This window comes from Homo sapiens, chromosome 11, assembly GCF_000001405.40.
Source record: "Homo sapiens chromosome 11, GRCh38.p14 Primary Assembly".
Lineage (NCBI taxonomy): Eukaryota > Metazoa > Chordata > Mammalia > Primates > Hominidae > Homo > Homo sapiens.
In genome coordinates this window covers 86,830,847-86,854,325 of record NC_000011.10, presented here as the reverse complement: position 1 = coordinate 86,854,325, position 23,479 = coordinate 86,830,847, and the positions used below count along the sequence as shown (strand labels likewise).

Here is a 23,479-nt window from a genome sequence, read left to right as displayed (position 1 = left end):
AGACATGTCCCTAAAGAAGATATAGCGGCCAGGTGCGGGGGCTCACACCTGTAATCCCGGCACTTTGGGAGGCCGAGGCAGGCAGATCACGAGGTCAGGTGATCAAGACCATCCTGGCTAACACAGTGAAACCCTGTCTCTACTAAAAATACAAAAAATTAGCCAGGCGTGGTGGCAGATGCCTATAGTCCCAGCTAGCTGGGAGGCTGAGGCAGGAGAATGGCTTGAACCCGGGAGGCGGAGCTTGCAGTGAGCCGAGATCGTGCCACTGCACTCCAGCCTGGGCGACAGAGTGAGACTGCGACTCAAAAAAAAAGAAGATATAGCAATGGCCAATAAGCATATAAAATGATGTTCAAAATCGCTAATCTTAAGGAAGTACAAATCAAACCAACAATGTGATACCACACATTAGGATGGATATGATAAACAAACAAGCAATGGTGAAACTAGAGGGAAGTAGGAATGCTCGAATATGATTGGAGGGAACGTAAAATTGTGCAGGAACAGGGAAAATAGTATGGAGTGTATTTGAAAAATGAAAAACAGAATTATCAGATGATCCCACAGTTACATTCGTGGGTACCTCCCAAAAAGAATTAGAAGCCAGCAGTGGAAGAGATATTTGTACACCCATATTCATAGCAGCATTATTCACAACAGCAAAAATGTGGAAGCAACCCAAGCGTTCGTGGACAGAAGAATGAAAAAGCACACTGCAGTTCATTCATACAATGGAAGACTATTCAGCCTTAAAAATGCAGGCACTTCTGGCCAGCGCAGTGGCTCACACCTGTAATCCTAGCATTTTGGGAGGCCAACGTGGGAGGATCACCTGAGGTCAGGAGTTCGAGACCAGCCTGGCCAAAACGGTGAAACCCTGTCTCTACTAAAAATACAAAAAATTAGCCAGGCATGGTGGCGCATGCCTGTAGTCACAGCTACTCCGGAGGCTGAGGCACAAGATCGCTTGAACCTGGGAGGCGGAGGTTGCGGTGAGCCCAGATTGTGCCACTGAACTCCAGCCTGGGTGACAGAGTGAGACTCCATTAAAAAAAAAAAAAAAAAAAAAAAAAAAAAAAAGGCAGGCACTTGTGACACAGGCTGCAACATGGATGAACCTTTAAGACATCATCGTCAGTGAAATACATAAATCCCAAAAGGATAAACACGACCGGGCTCAGTGGCTCGCACCTGTAACCCCAGTACTTTGGGAGGCTGAGGCAGGTGGATCACTTAAGGTCAGGAGTTTGAGACCAGCCTGGCCAATATGGTGAAAGCTCGTCTCTATTAAAAATACAAAAATTAGCTGGGCGTGGTGGCGCACGCCTGTAATCCCAGCTACTCCGGAGACTGAGACACAAGAATCGCTTGAACCCACGATGTGGAGGTTGCAGTGAGCCGAGATCATGCCACTGCACTCCAGCCTGGGCGACAGAGAAAGATTCTGTCTCCAAAACAAACAAACAAACAAACAAAACATGGTGTGATTCCACTTATATCAAGTGTCTAGAGTAGTTAAATGCATAGAGTTGCAAAATAGAATGGTGGCCCCCAGGGGTGGGCGAGAGAGAGGAATGGAGAGTTTGGTTAATGGGTCCCTTTTCCATTTTGAAAGATAAAACTGTTCTGGAGATGATGGAGGTGATGGTTGCTAAACAATGTGAATGTACTTAATGTCATTAAACTGTAAACTGAAAAATAGTGGAAATTGTAAATGTTTATACTGGCCATTCTATATGAAGTAATATATATTTATAATTTTTAATATTTATATGTGGTATATTTCCCAAAATAAAAGATGAAAATTAAAGCAGTTGGATCTTTAAGAAGAAAAGAAAGAAGCGAATAATATACACAAGCTTTCTCCTGATTAGAGGAAGAGCCCCAAAGCTTCAATGGACACTAACTTTTCTCTTCTTCTTGCATTATTATGAGGAAATCCTTAGAAGTTGGGGAATTTGGGTGACTTTGGCTAATGAGGAGCTCTGTGCCCTGAGCCCCACAGGCCATAGAATAGTAAATACTCAGTCTGTGCCTCCAGCCCTGCAGTGTGAGGTTCCAGTCCTGTGGGCTCCACACCCATCACCTCTATCAGGAGGCTCATGTCTCACCCTGTCTTCTTGCCAGTCTTGAGGACGGACTCTGAGACTCCATCGTGCACCACGCAGGGAGGACAGTGGACCTGTTCTCCGTGGTCATGGCCCAGCAGAGGGGAGGGGCAGTTCAGTGAGTGCTGAGGGATGGTTGGGAGCGTTGCTTTGTTTCCTCATCCTCAGGACAAACAGGAGAGTGCAGTGGGCAGATGGGAGGAGACCAATATGCAAACTGTCAGCTCAGCAGACTGTGGAGTTTCTGTTCTTGGTTGTGGTGGGGGTCTCAGAAATGTTATTCAAAATTTTGCTTCCCCCCCACCAATGGTTGTCCTTTTCATAGACATCTCACTCATGATAGCAGGGAATGAGTTCCTCTAAACTATTCCCTAAGCACAACAGAAAGATTATGAAGGTGATGATGAGGATAAAAAGGAAGATGGCAGATACCATGGCACCAAGAACTCTTACTGAGGGCTTCCTAAGTGCCACCTTCTTAGCTCTGTGGTCTATGCAGCTTGTTTCATTTCATCTGTGTAGTCTTCTCCCAGTTATTAGTGCACATTTCATTATCATTTAACAGACTAGAAAAGTTGTGACGCATTTTCATATAACTTGTATCAGATCATGAAGTCGAAAAGGGTGAATTCCCATTTGAACCAGGCAGTCTACGTCCAGACTCATGGCATTTGGCCAGTCCTCTCCCTGCATCCAACCTGCCCTCTCAAATCCTTGTCACTCGGGCAGATGCCCCTGCTCACTGTGCCCTTCCCTTTGGGGGTTCCTGGTAGACCACAGCTAGACCAGTGGATGCCACGTTCACTATGTCAAGTATAGAAAGGGCAGCTAAGATGACATCAAAGATCCCAGAAAGAACTGGCACAGGATCATTCAAGGGGCATCTCTCCCTTGCCCCTGCCCCTGGCTTTCCTTACAGCTCTTGACTTCCTCAAAGGAGTCATAAATTTGGAGTTTGGCTTCCATTCCTACTGAGGAAGCTGGAAACTGTTTCAAAATGCAACTCAGATATGGCTATGGTTAAGACCTCTGACCTCTGCTTACAACTTTTTGAGTGTTGGAAGACCATGAAGTTCAGTGCCTGGGACTTAGAGACTGGCCATTAATTTTGAATGCCACCCTTTCTACTTATCTGTATGGCAAGGGGTGAGATGCCAATCCTCTTGTAACGTCTAAGGTTCTTGCCTAGCCACGCCAAAGAATTGGTGTGAAAGTACAAAGTTTCCACAGTGTGGAAGGGGTCCCGAATGGGTAGCCAGAGTGAGATTATACAATTGCCTTTCAAACTCTTTAAGGCAAGGAATAGGTGTGGTAGGAAGATGTTACCAGAGCGAGAAACAAAGGCAGTAAATTATTTTGTGACATGTCTTAGATTTTGAGGAAAACTGGAATTGCAACTTAGGTTTTGTCTACTTTATGACTTTGTAGCAGCATGGCAAAGGAGACAGGATCTTACAGGACGTTACAAAGCATGTTTACAAGAAATTGGAATTGGGAGCATAGATAAGATCCACTGGTCACAGAAAAATGGGCAGTTAACATTCCTTTTAGTTTCAGGGGAGGGGGAAGGGAGAGAGGACACAGGGATACTTACAGCAAAATTTTTGCTGTTTATAGCTTTCTTGGGGAAGAAAACACATGCACAGATCCTGGTGTTAGGAATATTTTAAGCAAGCATATATCTTCAATATTATTCATCCAGGACTGAAGTAAGTCCTGACACAGGGAAATGAGTGAGTTTCACAGCTTTCTGAGCCCCTACTCAACCCAGGAAGCCCAGCTGGCACCTCCTCTCAGTCCCCCCTGTAAATAGGACACCCCAACTGCTGTTGGGAGCTGAGTGGTGGTTCTTCTAGCTACTTCCTGCTGGTTAGGGATGAAGAAGGGGCCCTGCAGTTGTGGTGTCCTCCAGAGGGGAACTTTCTAGGCTAATGAGGGACCAACGGGTCATTCCAGGGTTTCTCACTAGAAGCCATGAGTTGAGCTCATTTGAGATTCCATTTGTAAGACCATTTGTAGCTTGATGGCCTCGATCCTGGAGGAAACAAATTTGACAAGGAGGTTAAAAATGCAAGGCCTAAAGGTGAGTAATAGTAGGATGGCTGTCACAGGGCCTAGAAAGGGGAGGAGCCCAGGTATCCATTGGTTAAACATATTCCAGTCCTGAGTGTTCAAGCTCCTTTTTCCTACTTTCTATCCGTTCTCTTATTTCTTTGACCTTTTCAGTAATGATTCCTGACTGGTTAATGAAATAGCAACATTCTTCTCTAAGAGGTAGGTTCCTCCTCTTTCAGCTGTTACTATGTCTAGGGCTCTTCAGTTTTGGAGGACTACTGCAGCGAGAGAATTAAGCTGGCTTTGTAGGGTGACTAGGGAGTCAGAGTGCAGGGGAATGCAGAAGAAGGCATCTTTGAGGTGCAGAACAGTGAACTATTCTGCTTCCTCTGGTATCTGAGAGAGCAGCATATAGGGGTTAGGTACAGCAGGATATAAAGGAATTACTGCCTCATTGATTCTGAGGTCTTGCAATAGTCTCCGTTGACTATTTGGTTTTTGTAATTCTAGAATTGGGGTGTTGCAAGGACTGCTACATTTTCTTACTAAGCCTTGAGCTTTTAAATGTCTAACAATATCCTGTAATTCTTTGTGAGCTTCAGGCCTTAAGGGATATTGCGTTTGATAAGGAAAAGTGGTGGGGTCTTTTAGCCTGATTTGAATTGGATGGGCATTCTTTGCCTTTCCTAATTGTCCTTCCAAGGCCCAGACTTCAGAGTTGATTCCTTCTTCAAGTAGGGGACAACAAATGGGTAATTTGTTCCCTATATTTATGTAGATAATAGCTCCAGCTTTGTCTAATATGTCTCTCCTTAATAAGGGTGTGGGACTTTTGGGCGTAACAAGAAAGGCATGTGAAGAGAGCAAAGTCTCCCAATTGCAGCTGGAGGTGAGAGTAATACCTGGTTACAGGGTGTCCTAAGATTCCTCAGATAGTAATGGACTTTGAGGACAGTCTTCCAGGGCAGGAGATTAATCCTGAGAAAGCTGGGCCAGTGTTTAGGAGGAAGTGTACTTCCTGGCCCTCAATGGTCAAACTTACCCAGGGCTCTGTGAGGGTGATTGCATGAGCTGGCACTTGCTCCAGGCACCCTCAGTCCTGTTGCTGAATCATCTGGTTGGGTGCTTCTGGCCCAGGGGGCCTTCATCCTCTGGGGCAGTGCTACTTCCAGTGATTGCCTTGGCATATTGGACATGGGCGAGGGGGCAGTTTGTTTCTAGTTGGACAATCTTTTTTAAAGTGTCCTTGCAAACCGCACTGATAACAAGCCCTACTAGGCAATTGGCCTGCTCCTCTTTTGGTTCCCTCTGAGCCACCAAGGTCTGCCTGTCTGAGAGCCAAGACTAAGGCTGCAGCCTTTCTCTTATCTTGCTTTTCCATTTTGGCCTGTTCCTCTTGGTCCCTGTTATAGAACAACGAGGTTGGCAGGTTTAATAATGCCTCCAAGCTTTGTTCTGGGCCTAAGGCAGACCTTTGGAGTTTTCTCCTAATATCGGCCGCTTCTTAGGTGATAAGTTTATCCTTTAGAATAAGTTGGCCTTCCAGGGAATCCGGAGTTACGGGGGTGTGCCTTCTTAGAGCCTCCCGCAGCATTTCTAGAAAGGCTGAGGGGATTTTCTTCTTTTCCCTGGGTAATGGTGGATAGCATTGAGTAGTTCATAGGCTTTCTCCTAGTCTTCCTCAACCCTTTTAAAATGCAAGTTAGCAAATGCCTGTGGCTCTAATCTCCATGATCTGAGTCAGTATCCCAATAAGGATTTACAGTGGGGACTGCCTGTTCCCCTGTGGGCAATTTTTCCCTCTCCTCCAAGGCCATTCAATGGATTGTTTACCTGGCCAAGGTACTATCGATCCCTAAATTGCTGGGCTGCTGCTAAAGCTGCTTTTTTTTCAGTAGGACTTAAGGTCTGATCAAGAAGTAACATGATATCTCTCCATGTTAGATCAAAGGACTGCTCTAATCCTTGCAGGACATGTATATGGTTATCAGGATCATCCAAGAATTTCCCTAAATCTGCCTTTATTTGTTTTAAATTTGAGAGTGAGAAGGGGGCATGCATGTGAATGCGCCCAAATTCTCCTCCTACTGTTTGTAAGGGACATAGTTCGGGTGCCTGGCTCTCGGAGTTTACGTTCTCTTTCCATTTTGCCTTTAACACTTCAGTGAGGCCAGATGGAGGAGAGTCAGTGCAGGAGGAGAGTGGGGCTGAGGGAAGAGGCCCTGAATATGGAGGTAATTGTGGGCCTCTGTCATTTGGGCAAAGCTCGCAGGCTTGGCACAGGGCAGTATTGTCAAGAAGGGCAAAGAAAGCCTGTACGTAAGGGACTTCACTCCATTTACCTTCCTGCTTACAGAAAAGAGCTAGTTGTAGAAGGGTGTTATAATTAATACATCCCTCAGGGGGCCAAGTTTCTCCATTTTGTAAGGAATACTGTGGCCAGGCAGTGGTACAGAAGAAAATTAGCTGCTTCTTTTTTAAGGTTTCAGGGTCGAATTTGTCCCAGTTATTCAGGATACATCTTAAGGGAGTGTCCGGTTTGGAAGGTGTGGTGCCCATCTGGAATTTTAAACACAGGGATGCCCACACCCCTGGTTAGTCCTGGGACTCATCTTCCCTTAGGGTGTCCCCTAAGGGTCAGGACTAATTGTGCTGAAAGCTCATGGCCGCTTTTCCTGAGCTCTCCATCTACCAGATTTAACCATGCTTACTGGCAGGATGGAAACTTCCCTTGCCCCTGCCATGCACCCATTGACTACTAAATGGGGCACAAGGACTGTTGGATTTATTATGGTCCTTCTGCCAATACATCCAACCTGTTCCAGGGTGGCAAGGCCTGGGTTGGGGGCACCACTGATGCTTGAATGCTAAGGCCCACTTTATGCGGTCCTGGCCATAAAACTGTCCTTCAAGGAGAAATCTCTGAATTAGCAACAGGAGGCTTAGTAAGCTTAAAGGGGGTGGTGGATGTCCTCCAGACCAGGGCTGAGAGAACAGCTGCTGTACTTTAGCCTTCTGTCCCCACTTGCCATCAAAAGAGTAAGCCCCCCTCTCAAGGTGGTACCAGTATCCTGTGTCCCAACTGACTACATTTTCTTCCAATACCAATTATTAAATGGTTGAAACAACAATTCAATGGCTCTAAGAGCTGTACCCATGCACCATAGATTGTACTTGATAGGCCCCAAGGAAGGGGAAAGTTTATCTGGGGAGCAATGGAGGAAATGCCCTAAGGCTTCTACTATCCACATGAAAATTACAGACCTATCTTTAAATTATCCTGATGTGGGGGACTACACACTATGGTGGGGAACTGGTCCTTCAAAATAGCCATCAAATGGTGACACCTGCCTGAACCCTAGAGGGCACCATGAACAGGGATCTTCTGGGTGCCACCCCAAGACTTTAAGTCTTCTAAATAGGGAATCTTGATCCTGTCTAGTGGGAATAACCTTGCTTACAAGATGAGGAAAGAAGTCTAACTGGTGGACATTAGGACTCATTAGGAGGTGGGAGTCAGAAGATGTGGCTGTCTCATGCTCACTAACCCATGCAGGGGGAGCCTCTGGCAGGGCTGTGGTCTCAACTAGGATATCTGGGAGACTAAGATTTCCACTGAGCACTCCCAGGTGTACTTCAGAACCACCATGGAAAGCAAAAGAGTTGGAACTGGTTCCAGGCCAACCAATGCTCCCAAACCTGAAGGGTCAGGGGTTGTTAGAGAACCTTTTCCAGACAGCCTGACACCCGTGTCTTTAGTCCAGCAGCCACACTAATCACCTTTAAGTGGCTGACAGGTGCCTAGTTTAGCCTCCAAATTCTAAGGAAGGACAGGACAGAATAGCAAGCAAAAGAGGTCTGATTGTACTCACAGTGTGATGATCTAGATGCCTTTCCTGGAGTATCCTGCCTGGCTCACCAAAATGTAACACCTAAGGTTCTTGCCTAGCCACACCAAAGAATTGGTGTGGTGGCTGACTATGGTGAGTGATAGAGGCAAGGACCGAGAGAGAGAAAAAGTTGTAGGCTTTATTGAGCTGAGTGAAAGCACACTGTGGAAGGTGTCCTGAACAGGTAACCAGAGTGAGATTATACAATTGCCTTTTCAACTCTTTAAGGCAGGAAATATGTGTGGTGGGAAGATGTTACCAGATTGAGAAACAAAGGCAGTAAATTATTTTGTGACATGTCTTAGATTTTGAGGAAAACTGGAATTGCAACTTAGGTTTTAGCTACTTTATGACCTTGCAGTAGCATGGTAAAGGAGACAGGATCTTACAGGACCTTACAAAGTACTTTTATAAGAAATTGGAATTGGGAGCATAGATAAGGTCTGCTGGTCACAGAAAAATGAGCAGTTAACATTCCTTTTAGTTTTGGGGTAGGGGGAAGAGAAATAGGACACAGGGAAACTTACAGCAAAATTTTTTTGCTGTTTATAGCTTTCTTGGGGAAGAAAACACAATGCACAAATTCTGGTGTTAGGAATATTTTAAGCATATATCTTCAATATTATTCATCCAGGACTGAAGTAAGTCCTGATGCAGGGAAATGAGTGAGTTTCACAGCTTTCTGAGCCCCTACTCAACCCAAGAGGCCCAGCTGGCACCTCCTCTCATTCTGAGACTCATCACTGTCATATGAGTTGATTTCTTGTTGATCCAACAGAAGTGAGCAGTGATTAAACCTATTGTAGGTGCCCACTGCATGATGTCTATGTGATGGATGTATCAAGTAAAGACAAAGTGAATTTAAGATACATTCATAATATTTTAAGCTTAATCTCCATACAATTCAACTGAAGTATCCCCTGACCTGAAGTTCTGGTTTCCCTGCATTCCAGACAGGACATTTTATTTTGTCCTTATCTAAGTAAGTACTGAGTATTGTGAGAGGAACAAGTGAGTTTCTTTTGCTTCTGATTCTCCAGAGTCTATATTTTGCGTGGCACACAGGAGATAGCAAAAGTAAAAATCTATGTTAATTATTGAATAGAACCTTCCTTGGTTCACAAAAATTGGCTGTGATCAGTGTGACTTCGACTTACTTAATTCTTTTTTTTTTTTTTTCTGAGACAGAGTTTCACTCTTGTTACCCAGGCTGAAGTGCAATGGTGTGATCTCAGCTCACAGCAACTTCCACCTCTCAAGTTCAAGTGATTTGTTTGCTCAGCCTCCTGAGTAGCTAGGGTAACAGGTATGCACCACTATGGCCAGCTAATTTTGTATTTTTAATAGAGATGGGGTTTCTCCATGTTGGTCAGGCTGTTCTTGAACTCCTGACCTCAGGTGATCTGCCTGCCTCGGCCTCTCAAAGTGCTGGGATTACAGGCATGAGCCGCCATGCCCAGCCCAACATACTCAATTATTTGCTGCCTGTTCTTTCATCCCTTCCAGCAACATGCCATAGAACTAGAGATGATAAAACAACACTTGTTTGTTTCTATGTCATGACGTGGGTCCTATGATTCTATTGATTAGTATTCACAGCATTCAATTATTCAAAAACCAAGGAAGAGCTTTTCATAGGTCTAATAAAAAAGAAATAGAGGCAGAAAGAAATGGGGGCAGGTAAACCTTATTGCTTGGACTGACACACATTTTAGACTTTCACATTACTCCAGACTCAAAAAAAGTAAACCAAAATGTTCTTAGAACTTCATTATTGTTTAATCATTGACAGCTGTATTGCACACTGTGGACATTGGTGTAGTAAGTGATGGCCTATGGTTATGTCCATTTTTTTTTTATTATACTTTAAGTTCTAGGGTACATGTCCACAACCTGCAGGTTTGTTACATACGTATACATGTGCCATGTTGGTTTGCTGCACCCATCAACTCAACATTTACATTAGGTATTTCTCCTAATGCTATCCCTCTCCCAGCTGCCTACCCCCTGACAGGCCCCGGTGTGTGATGTTCCCTGCATTTTGTTCATGTGTTCTCATTGTTCAACTCCCACCTGAGTGAGAACTTGTGGTGTTTGGTTTTCTGTCCTTGTGACACTTTGCTTACAATGATGGTTACAGGCTTCATCCATGTCCCTGCAAAGGACATGAACTCATCCTTTTTTATGGCTGCATAGTATTCAATGGTGTATGTGTGCCACATTTTCTTAATCCAGTCTATCATTGATGGACATTTGGGTTGGTTCCAAGTCTTTGGTATTGTGAATAGTGCCACAATAAACATTCGTGGGCATGTGTCTTTATAGTAGAATGATTTTTAATCCTTTGGGTATATACCCAGTAATGGGATTGCTGGGTCAGATGGTATTTCTAGTTCTAGATACTTGAGGAATTGCCACACTGTCTTCCACAATGGTTGAACTAACTTACACTCCCACTAACATGTGAAAGTGTTCCTATTTCTCCACTTCTCTCCAGCATCTGTTGTTTCCTGACTTTTTAATGATTACCATTCTAACTGGTGTAAAATGAGATCTCATTGTAGTTTTGATTTGCATTTCTCTGATGACAAGTGATGATGAGCTTTTTTTCATATGTCTGTTGGCTGCATAAATGTCTTCTTTTGAGAAGTGTCTGTTTATATTCTTTGCCCACTTTTTGATGGGGCTTTTTTTCTTGTAAATTTGTTTAAGTTCATTGTAGATTCTGGATATTAGCCCTTTGTCAGATGGATAGATTGCAAAAATTTTCTCCCATTCTGTAGGTTGCCTGTTCACTCTGATGGTAGTTTCTTTTGCTGTGCAGAAGCTCTTTAGTTTAATTAAATCCCATTTGTCTATTTTGGCTTTTGTTGCCATTGCTTTTGGTGTTTTAGTCATGAAGTCTTTGCCCACGCCTATGTCCTTAATGATATTGCCTAGGTTGTCTTCTAGAATTTTTATGGTGTTAGGTCTTATATTTAAGTCTTTAATCCATCTTGAGTTAATTTTTGTATATGGTGTAAGGAAGGGATCCAGTTTCAGCTTTCTACATATGGCTAACCAGTTTTCCCAGCACCATTTGTTAAATAGGGAATCCTTTCCCCATTGCTTATTTTTGTCAGATTTGTCAAAGATCAGATGGTTGTAGATGAGTGGTGTTATTTCTGAGGCCTCTGTTCTGTTCCATTGGTCTATATATCTGTTTTGGTACCAGTACCATGCTGTTTTGGTTACTATAGCCTTGTAGTATAGTTTGAAGTTAGGTAGCGTGCTGCCTCCATCTTTGTTCTTTTTGCTTAGGATTGTCTTGGCTATGTGGGCTCTTTTTTGGTTCCATATGAAATTTAAAGTAGTTTTTTCCAATTCTGTGAAGAAAATTAGTGCTAGTTGATGGAAATGGCATTGAATCTATAAATTACCTTGGGCAGTATGGCCATTTTCACAATATTGATTCTTCCTACCCATGAGCATGGAATGTTCTTCCGTTTCTTGGCGTCCTCTTTTATTTCGTTGAGCAGTGATTTGTTGTTCTCCTTGAAGAGGTCCTTCACATCCCTTGTAATTTGGATTCCCAGGTATTTTATTCTCTTTCTCACAGTTGTGAATGGGAGTTCACTTATGATTTAGCTCTCTATTATTGGTGTATAGGAATGCTTGTCATTTTTGCACATTGAATTTGTATCCTGAGACTTTGCTGAAGTTGCTTGTCAGCTTAGGGAGATTTTGGGCTGAGACAATGGGGTTTTCTAAATATACAATCATGTCGTCTGCAAACAGAATTTGACTTCCTCTTTTCCTAATTGAATACCCTTTATTTCTTTCTCTTGCCTGATTGCACTAGCCAGAAATTCCAACACTATGTTGAATTGGAGTGGTGAGAGAGGCCATCGTTGTCTTGTGCCAGTTTTCAAAGGGAATGCTTCCAGTTGTTGCCCATTCAGTATGATATTGGCTGTGGGTTTGTCATAAATAGCTCTTATTATTTTGAGATACGTTCCATCAATACCTAGTTTATATAGAGTTTTTAGCATGAAGGTCTGTTGAATTTTGTCAAAGGTCTTTTCTGCATCTATTGAGATAATCATGTAGTTTTTGTTCTTGGTTCTCTTTATGTGATGGATTACGTTTATTGATTTGTGTATGTTGAACAAGCCTTGCATCCCAGGGGTGAAGCTGACTTGATAGTGGTGGATAAGCTTTTTGATGTGCTGCTGGATTCTGTTTGCCAGTATCTTACTGAGGATTTTCTCATTGATGTTCGTTAGAAATATTGGTCTAAAATTCTCTTTTTTTGTTGTGTCTCTGCCAGGTTTTGGTATCAGGATGATCCTGGTCTTATAAAATGAGTTAGGGAGGATTCTCTCTTTTTCTGTTGATTGGAATAGTTTCAGAAGGAATGGTACCAGTTCCTCTTTATACCTCTGGTAGAATTTGGCTGTGAATCTGTCTAGTCCTGGACTTTTTTTGGTTGGTAGACTATTAATTATTGCCTCAATTTCAGACCTTCTTATTGGTCTATTCAGAGATTCAACTTCCTCCTGGTTTACTCTTGGGTGGGTGTATGTGTCCAGGAATATATCCATTTCTTCTAGATTTCTAGTTTATTAGCATAGAGGTGTTTATAGTATTCTGATGGTAGTTTGTATTTCTGTGGGACCAGTGGTGATATCTCCATTATCATTTTTTATTGTGTCTATTTGATTATTTCTTCTTTTCTTCTTTATTAGTCTTGCTAGCGGTCTGTGTTGTTGATCTTTTCAAAAAACCAGCTCCTGGATTCATTGATTTTTTTGAAGTGTTTTTTGTGTCTCTTATCTCCTTCAGTTCTGCTCTGAACTTATTTTTTGACTTCTGCTAGCTTTTGAGTTTCTTTGCTCTGGCTTCCCTAGTCCTTGTTCTTTTTTTTTTTTCTTCTTCTTTTTTTTTTTTTGAGATGGAGTTTCCCTCTTGTTGCCCAGGCTGGAGTGCAATGGCTCAATCTTGGCTCATTGCAACCTCCACCTCCCAGGTTCAAGGGATTCTCCTGCCTTAGCCTCCTGAGTAGCTGGGATTGCAGGCATGTGCCACCACACCAGGCTAATTTTGTATTTTTAGTAGAGATGGAGTATCTCCATGTTGGTCAGACTGGTCTCGAACTCCTGACCTCAGGTGATTCGCCTGCCTCAGCCTCCCAAAATGCTGGGATTACAGGTATGTGCCACCTCGCCTGGCCTTCCCTAGTTCTTTTAATTTGATGTCAGGGTGTCAATTTTAGATCTTTCCTTCTTTCTCTTGTGGGCATTTAGTGCTATAAATTTCCCTCTACACACTGCTTTAAATGTGTCCCAGAGATTCTGGTATGTTGTGTGTTTGTTCTCACTGGTTTTAAAGAACATCTTCACTTCTGCCATCATTTTGCTATTTACCCAGTAGTCACTCAGGAGCAGGTTGCTCAGTTTCCATGTAGTTGTGCAGTTTTGAGTGAGTATCTTAATCCTGAATTGTACTTTGATTGCACTGTGGTCTGACAGATAATTTGTTGTGATTTCTGTTCTTTTACATTTGCTGAGGAGTGTTTTACTTCCAATTATGTGGTCAATTTTAGAATAAGTGTGATGTGGTGCTGACAAGAATGTATATTCTGTTGATTTGGGGTAGAGAGTTCTGTAGATGTCTATTAGGTCCACTTGTTCCAGAGGTGAGTTCAAGTCCTGGATATCCTTGTTAACCTTCTGTCTTGTTGATCTGTCTAATACTGAAGTGGGGTGTTAAAGCCTCCCATTATTATTGTGTGGGAGTCTCTTTGTAGGTCTCTAAGGACTTGCTTTATGAATCTAGGTGCTCCTGTATTGGGTGCATATATATTTAGGATAGTTAGCTCTTCTTGTTTAATTGATCCCTTTACCATTATGTAGTGGCCTTCTTTGTCTCTTTTGATCTTTGTTGGTTTAAAGTCTGTTTTAACAAAGACTAGGATTGCAATCCCTGCTTTTTTTGTTTGTTTGTTTGTTTTGCTTTCCATTTGCTTGGTAGATCTTCCTCCATCCTTTTATTTTGAGCCTATGTGCATCTTTGCACATGAGATGGGTATCCTGAATACAGCACACTGATGGGTCTTGACTCTTTATCCAATTTGCCAATCTGTAGCTTTTAATTTGGGCATTTAGCCCACTTACATTTAAGGTTAATATTACTATGTTTGAATTTGATCCTGTCATTATGATGTTAGCTGGTTATTTTGTCCATTAATTAATGCAGTTTCTTCATAGCATCGATGTCTTTACAATTTGGCATGTTTTTGCAGTGGCTGGTACAGGTTGTTCCTTTCCATGTTTAGTGCTTCCTTCAGGAGCTCTTGTAAGGCAGGCCTGGTGATGACAAAATCTCTTAGCATTTGCTTGTCTGTGAAAGATTTTATTTCTCCTTCACTTATGAAGCTTAGTTTGGCTGCATACGAGATTCTGGATTGAAAATTCTTTCCTTTAGGAATGCTGAATATTGGCCCCCACTCTCTTCTGGCTTGTAGGGTTTCTGCCAAGAGATCTGCTGTTAGTCTGATGCACTTTCCTTTCTGGGTAGCTTGACCTTTCTCTTTGGCTGCCTTTAACATTTTTCCTTCATTTCAACCTTGGTGAATCTGACGATTATGTGTCTTGGGGTTGCTCTTCTCAAGGAATATCTTTGTGGTGTTCTCTGTATTTCCTGAATTTGAATGTTGGCCTGCCTTGCTACGTTAGGGAAGTTCTCCTGGATAATATCCTGAAGAGTGTTTTCTAACTTGGTTCCATTCTCCCTATCACTTTGAGGTACATCAATCAAACATAGATTTGGTCTTTTCACATAGCCCCATATTTCTTGGAGGCTTTGTTAGGTTTTTTCCCTCTTTTTTCTCTATTCTTCTCACTTTATTTCATTAATTTGACCTTCAGTCACTGATAACGCATGCATCATGAAGTTCTCCTGCTGTGGTTTTCAGCTCCATCAGGTAATTTAAGGTCTCTTCTGCACTGTTTATTCTAGTTAGCCACTCGTCTAACCTTTTTTCAAGGTTTTTAGCTTCCTTGTGATTGGTTAGAACATGCTCCTTTAGCTCAGAGAAGTTCGTTACTACTGACCTTCTGAAGTCTACTTCTGTCAACTCGTTAAGCTCATTCTCCATCCAGTTTTGTTCCCTTGCTGGCGAGGAGCTGCAATCCTTTGGAGGAGAAGAGGCGCTCTGTTGTTTTTTTTTTTTAATTTTTTGCTTTTCTGCTCTGGTTTCTCCCTATCTTTGTGGTTTTATCTACCTTTGGTCTTTGATATTGGTGACATACAGATGGGGTTTTCATGTGGATGTCCTTTTTGTTGATGTTGATGTTGATGCTATTCCTTTCTCTTTGTTAGTTTTCCTTCTAACAGTCAGGCCCCTCAGTTGCAGGTCTCTTGGAGTTTACTGGAGGTCGATTCCAGAACCTGTTTGCCTGGGCATCACCAGTGGAGGCTGCAGAACAGCAAATATTGCTGCCCGATCTTTCCTCTGGAAGCTTCATCTGAGAGGGGCACCCACCTGTTTGAGGTGTCTTTGCTCCCCTTCTGGGAGATGTCTCCCAGTCAGGCTACACAGGGTTCAGGGACCCACTTGAGGAGGCAGTATGTCTGTTCTTGGAGCTCGAATGCCATGCTGAGAGAACCACTGCTCTCTTCAGAGCTGTCAGACAGGGATGTTTAAGTCTGCAGAATCTGTCTGCTGCCTTTCGTTCTGCTATGCCCTGCCCCCAGAAGTGAAATCTAGAGAGGCAGTAGGCCTTGCTGAGCTGTGGTGGGTTCCAGCCAGTTTGAGCTTCCTGGCAGCTTTGTTTACACTGTGAGCTACTCAAGCCTCAGCAATGGCAGATGCCCCTCTCCCCATCAAGCTGCAGCCCCACAGGTTGATCTCAGACTGCTGTGCTAACAGTGAGCAAGTCTCCGTGGCTGTGGCACCCACCAAGCCAGGCATGGGAGGGTATCTCCTGGTCTGCTATTTGCTATGACAATGGGAAAAGTGCACTATTTGGTCAAGAGTGTACCGTTTCTCTTTTTGGTGGTGATGGATGTGCTGGTGATGGTTGATTGTTGTGATGGTTTTGTAGGTGTGTGCCTGTGTCAATGCAGATCAAATTTTATATTGTAAACACATGAAGTGTACTGGATGCCAATTATATGTCAATAAAGCTATTTTAAAAATTGAAAAAAAAAAAAGAGTGTACCGTTTCTTCAGATACAGTCTGTCACGGCTTCCCTTGGCTAGGAAAGGGAAATCTGCTGACCCCTTGCACTTCCCAGGTGAGGTGACACCCTGCCCTACTTCAGTTCACCCTCTGTGCACTTCACCCACTGTCCAAGCAGTCCCAATGAGAAGAACCAGGTACCTCAGTTGGAAATGCAGAAATCACCCATCTTCTGTGTCGATCTCACTAGGAGCTGCAGACCAGAGCTGTTCCTATTTGGCCATCTTAAAAGCGATCTCCAGTTATGTCCATTTAACTAAAACTTTCTCTCTTTTTTTGAGATGGAGTCTCGCTCTGTCACCCAGACTGAAGTGCAGCAGTGTGATCTTGGCTCACTGTAGCCTCTGCATCCCAGGTTCAAGCCATTCTCCTGTCTCAGCCTCCCAAATAGCTGGGACAACAGGTGCATGCTGCCATGCTTAGCTAATATTTGTAATTTTAGTAGAGGCATGGTTTCACCATGTTGCCCAGGATAATCTTGATCTCCTGACCTTGTGATCCACCCACCTCAGCCTCCCAAAGTGCTGGGATTACAGGTGTGAGCCACTGTGTCTGGCCAAACTTTCTTATGAAATCTCTAAGTCCGCCTAAGCTAGGGACAGAAGTTATATCTTACATGAATTTTAAAACAAGGCCCACCTACTCGAGTAAGCAATTACTCTCTTGAAGGAGAAAAGTCAGAGAACATAACTGGCATCTGGAAATATTTTCTGATTATGAACTATCAACTATAATTTTATTTCCAGATGACCTGGTCTCAGCTGTTACACAGTGTTTATAAATGTTCTAAATCAAGGGAACTTGTGGCAATCTATTAGAATAAAATAATACATTTGAGTTCTTAATTTCTTTTAATTAGGATAAACTTTTTCTTAAAGCAAAGAGAATGATTTTATTACATATTTTTCTTTGGAAAAGATAGGCTGTATTTTCTAGCAATTATGAATTTGTTATATATGATGATCTGGTTCTTGGAACATTCTTGAATCTAGTGTCTCTAAGGCAGGTGTGTACAGCAAGAAGTGAATAACACAAAACTCAATAAAAGAATTATAAAAAAATTGAGTTTGTCAGAACTGCACAATATTGCTGAGTGTGGATTGCTCTGAAATCTGAAAACATTACTTGTGAATTGCTTATATCCAAAATGCAGACACAGTTCTGGGTGTTGGTTTACTTGTTTTCTATTTTTCAATCCTCTTTTCTACTCAAAATATGTCCAAACTCTGAGGGTGCCCGGGGCAAGTGCCAGTCCATGCCATCACCCTCACAGAGCCCTGGGTATGCTTGACCATTGACAGCCAGGAGGTTAATTGTCTCCTGGACACTGGCACGGCCTTCTCAGTCTTACTCTCCTGTCCTGGACAACTGTCCTCCAGATCTGTCACTATTCGAGGGGTCCTGGGACAGCCAGTCACTAGATACTTCTCCCAGCCACTAAGTTGTGACTAGGGAGCTTTACTGTTTTCACATGCTTTTCTAATTATGCCTGAAAGCCCCACTCCCTTGTTAGGGAGAGATATTCTAGCAAAAGCAGGGGCTATTACACACCTGAACATAGGAAAAGGAACACCCATTTGTTCTTCCCTGCTTGAGGAAGGAATTAATCCTGAAGTCTGTGTAACAGAAGGACAATATGGATGAGCAAAGAATACCCATCCTGTTCAAGTCAAACTAAAGGATTCTGCCTCCTTTCCCTACCAAAGGCAGTATCCCCTTAGACCCCAAGGCCCAACAAGGACTCCAAAAGATTGTTAAGGACCTAAAAGCCCAAGGCCTAGTAAAACCGTGCAATAGCCCCTGCAATACTCCAATTTTAGGAGTACAGAAACCCAACGGACAGTGGAGGTTAGTGCAAGATCTCAGGATTATCAATGAGGCCCTTGTCCCTCTATACCCAGCTGTACCTAACCCTTACACTCTGCTTTCTCAAATACCAGAGGAAGCAGAGTGGTTTACAGTCCTGGGCCTTAAGGATGACTTTTTCTGCATCCCTGTACATCCTGACTCTCAATTCTTGTTTGCCTTTGAAGAACCTTCAAACCCCACATCTCAACTCACCTGGACTGTTTTACCGAAAGGGTTCAGGGATAGCCCCCATCTATTTGGCCAGGTATTAGCCCAAAACTTGAGCCAATTCTCATACCTGGACACTCTTGTCCTTCGGTACGTGGATGATTTACTTTTAGCTGCCCGTTCAGAAACCTTGTGCCATCAAGCCACCCAAGCACTCTTAAATTTCCTCACTACCTGTGGCTACAAGGTTTCCAAACCAAAGGCTCAGCTCTGCTCACAGGAGGTTACGTACTTAGGGCTAAAATTATCCAAAGGCACCAGGGCCCTCAGTGAGGAACGTATCCAGCCTATACTGGCTTAATCTCATCCTAAAACCCTAAAGCAACTAAGAGGGTTCCTTGGCATAACAGGTTTCTGCCGAATATGGATTCCCAGGTAAGACGAAATAGCCAGACCATTATATACACTAATTAAGGAAACTCAAAAAGCCAATACCCATTTAGTAAGATGGACCCCTGAAGCAGAAGCAGCTTTCCAGGCCCTAAAGAGGGCCCTAACCCAAGCCCCAGTGTTAAGCTTGCCAACGGGGCAAGACTTTTCTTTATATGTCACAGAAAAAACAGGAATAGCTCTAGGAGTCCTTACACAGGTCCAAGGGATGAGCTTGCAACCCATGGCATACCTGAGTAAGGAAATTGATGTAGCGGCAAAAGGTTGGCCTCATTGTTTACAGGTAGTGGTGGCAGTAGCAGTCTTAGTATCTGAAGCAGTTAAAATAATACAAGGAAGAGATCTTACTGTGTGGACATCTCATGATGTGAAAGGCATACTCACTGCTAAAGGAGACTTGTGGCTGTCAGACAACTGTTTACTTAAATATCAGGCTCTATTACTTGAAAGGCCAGTGCTGCAACTGCACACTTGTGCAACTCTTAACCCAGCTACATTTCTTCCAGACAATGAAGAAAAGGTAGAATATAACTGTCAACAAGTAATTGCTCAAACCTATGCCACTTGAGGGGACCATTTAGAGGTTCCCTTGACTGATCCCCACCTCAACTTGTATACTGATGGAAGTTACTTTGTAGGAAAAGGACTTCGAAAAGCGGGGTATGCAGTGGTCAGTGATAATGGAATACTTGAAAGTAATCCCCTCACTCCAGGAACTACTGTTCAGCTGGCAGAACTAATAGCCCTTACTCGGGCACTAGAATTAGGAGAAGGAAAAAGGGTAAATATATATACAGACTCTATGTATGCTTACCTAGTCCTCCATGCCCATGCAGCAATATGGAGAGAAAGGGAATTCCTAACTTCCGAGGGAACACCTATCAAACATCAGGAAGCCATTAGGAAATTATTATTGGCTGTACAGCAACCTAAAGAGGTGGCAGTCTTACACTGCCGGAGTCATAGGAAAGGAAAGGAAAGGAAAGGAAAGGAAAGGAAAGGAAAGGAAAGGAAAGGAAAGGAAAAAGGAAAGGAAAGGAAAGGAAAGGAAAGGAAAGGAAAGGAAAGGAAAATAGAAGGGAATCACCAAGCAGATATTGAAGCCAAAAGAACCGCAAGGCAGGACGCTTCATTAGAAATGCTTATAGAAGGACCCCTAGTTTGGGTAATCCCCTCGGGAAAACCAAGTCCCGGTACTCAGAAGAAGAAATAGAATGGGGAACCTCAGGAGGACATAGTTTCCTCCCCTCAGGATGACTAGCCACCGAAGAAGGAAAAATACTTTTGCCTGCAGCTAACCAATGAAAATTACTTAAAACCCTTCACCAAATCTTTCACTTAGGCATTGATAGCACCCATCAGATGGCCAAATTCTTATTTACTGGACCAGGCCTCTTCAAAACTATTAAGCAGATGGTCAGGGCCTGTGAAGTGTGCCAAAGAAATAATCCCCTGCACTGCAGGCCATACATTTCAATCCCTGTATCTCTAACCTCCTTGTTAAGTTTGTCTCTTCCAGAATCGAAGCTGTAAAACTACAAATGTTCTTCAAATGGAGCCCCAGATGCAGTCCATGACTAAGATCTACCATGGACCCCTGGACCGGCCTGCTAGCACATGCTCTGATGTTAATGACATCGAAGGCACCCCTCCCGAGGAAATCTCAACTGCACAACCCCTACTATGCCCCAATTCAGCAAGAAGCAGTTAGAGTGGTCAGTCGGCCAACCTCCCCAACAGTACTTGGGTTTTCCTGTTGAGAGGGGGGACTGAGAGACAGGACTAGCTGGATTTCCTAGGCCAACTAAGAATCCCTAAGCCTAGGTGGGAAGGTGACTGCATCCACCTTTAAACACGGGGCTTGCAACTTAGCTCACGCCCGACCAATAAGAGAGCTTACTAAAATGCTAATTAGGCAAAAACAGGAGGTAAAGAAATAGCCAATCATCTATGGCCTGAGAGCACAGTGGGAGGGAAAATGATCTGGATATAAACCCAGGCATTCGAGCCAGCAATGGCTACCCTCTATGGATCCCCTCCCTTTGTATGGGAGCTCTGTCTTCACTCTATTAAATCTTGCAACAGTAAATATATATATATATATACATGTCCGAACTATACAGACCCACAGAATCTAACAGATGCTTCAAAATTCCTCCTCCTAGAACTCTCAGAGGATCCAAAACTGCAGCTGGCCCTCGCTGGGCTGTTCCTGTTCATGTACCTAGTCATGGTGCTGGAGAATCTGCTCATTATCCTGGCCGTCAGCTCTGACTTCCACCTCCACACCCCCATGTACTTCTTCCTCTCCAACCTGTCCTTGGCTGACATCGGTTTCACCTCCAACACGGTCCCCAAGATGATTGTGGACATCCAATCTCACAGCAGAGTCATCTCCTATGCAGGCTGCCTGACTCAGATGTCTCTCTTTGCTGTTTTTGGAGGCATGGAAGAAAGACATGCTCCTGAGTGTGAGGGCCTATGACCGGTTTGTAGCCATCTGTCACCCTCTATATTATTCAGCCATCATGAACCCATGTTTCTGTGGCTTCCTAGTTTTGTGTTTTTTTTTTTCTCAGTCTTTTAGACTCCCAGCTGCACAATTTGATTGCCTTACAAATGACCTGCATCAAGGATGTGGAAATTCCTAATTTCTTCTGTGACCCTTCTCAACTCCCACACCTTGCGTGTTGTGACACCTTCACCAATAACATAGTCATGTATTTCCTTGCTGCCATATTTGGTTTTCTTCCTATCTCACGGATCATTTTCTCTTACTATAAAATTGTTTCCTCCATGCTGAGTGTTTCATCATCAGGTGGGAAGTATAAAGCCTTCTCCACCTGTGGGTCTCCCCTGTCAGTTGTTTGCTTATTTTATGGAAAAGTCGTTGGGGGGTACCTGAGTTCAGATGTGTCATCTTCCCCCAGAAAGGGTGCAGTGGCCTCAATGATGTACACGGTGATCACCCCCATGCTGAACCCCTTCATCTACAGACTGAGAAACAGGGACATCAAAAGGGTCCTGTGGTGGTTGCATGGCAGAACAGTTTAATCTCATTATTTTATTATCTGTTCCATTCCTTTTGTAGTGTGGGTTAAAAAAGGCAGCAAGGTCAAATACGAATAATATCACAGGGTGAAGACCCACTGTGATATTAAGAGTAATAGCTCCCTAGGATATGAAAAATACTATCACAGAGTGTACACACATGGAGTACACCCACTGTGATATTAGAAGCCATATTTCCCTAAAATATTGTGAAAAATATCCCCAGGTGTACACCCTCTGTGATATTAGAAGTCATATTTACCCTGGATGTTATGAATAATATCAAGGGTGTTCACACATGTGGTACACCCACTGTGATATTAGGAATTATATCTCCCTACGATATTATGAATGACATCACTGGGGGTGTACGCACATGGTGAACACCACCAGTAATATTAACAACATCCCCATAGAATATTATGAAGAATATCACAGGGGGTGTACATACATGGCATACATCCCCTGTGACATTAGGAGTAACATTTACCTCGGATATTATGAGTAATATCACGGGAGTTACACCATCTCGAACATTAGGAGTAAGGTCCCCCTAGGATATTACGAATAATATCACAGGGTGTACACACACTGGAACATGAGGAGTAACATCATTCCGGAATATTGTGAATAATATCACAAGGTGCACATCACCTGTGACATTAGGAGGAACACTGGCATAGGATATTACAAATAATATGACAGGGTGTATACCCGCTGCGACACTAGGAGTAACATCTCTCTAGAATATTAGAAATAATATCACAAGGTGTACAAGCATTATGACATTGGTAGTAACATACCTTTAGGATATTATGAATAACATCACAGTGTGTACACCCCCTGTGACATTAGGAGTAACATCCCCTAGAATATTAGGAATGATATCACAGGGCGTACACCCCCTGTGACATTAGTAGTAACATTCCCCTAGGATATTATGAATAATATTACAGGGTGTAGAGCCCCGGTGATATTAAGAGTAACATTTCTATAGGCTATTACGAATAATATCACGGTGTGTATACCACGTGTAACATTAAAAGTAACATCCCCCAAAACTATTACAAAAAATTTCACAGGGGGTACACCTGCTATGACATTAGGAGTATCATCCCACTAGGATATTACAAAAAATATCACAGGGTGTACACACCCTGTGACATGAGGAGTAACAACTTTCTAGGATATTACGAATAATACAAAAAGGTGTAAACCCGCTATGACATTAGGAGTAATATTCCCTTAGGATATTACGAATAATACAAAAAGGTGTAAACCCGCTATGACATTAGGAGTAATATTCCCTTAGGATATTATGAATAATATCGCAGGGTGTACAAGCATTGTGACATTAGTAATAACATCCTGCTAGGATATAAAAAATAATATCACGGAGTGTACACCTTCTGTGACATTAGGAATAACATCCGCCTAGGATATTACGAATAGTATTACAAGTTGTAAACCCCGTTGACATTAGGAGAAACATCCCCCTAGGATATTCCAAATAATATCACTGGGTGTACACGCCTGTGACATTAGGAGTAACATCCGTGTAGCACATTATGTATAATATCACAGTTTGTAAACCCCCTGTGACTTTAAAAGTAACATCCCCATAGAATATTTCAAATGATGTCACAGGGTGTACACCCCTGATGACATTAGGAGGAACATC

General features: G+C 43.0%; 1 protein-coding gene and 1 pseudogene across 3 annotated transcripts in view, besides 1 other annotated feature; one reads left to right on the top strand and one right to left on the bottom strand.

The window, feature by feature from the left end:
• The window catches only part of PRSS23 (serine protease 23), a 161,840-nt gene that overhangs the window by 98,585 nt on the left and 39,776 nt on the right, over window positions 1–23,479 (bottom strand). The gene's annotated exons all lie outside the window — the stretch shown is intronic.
• Window positions 5,383–5,583: a silencer, noted in NCBI's record as "peak1379 fragment used in MPRA reporter construct". NCBI's record gives its function as "represses an SCP1 promoter by STARR-seq MPRAs in K562 erythroleukemia cells {active_cell/tissue: K562}" and the evidence as "EXISTENCE:reporter gene assay evidence [ECO:0000049][PMID:32103011]".
• OR7E13P (olfactory receptor family 7 subfamily E member 13 pseudogene) lies at window positions 21,067–21,720 on the top strand (annotated as a pseudogene).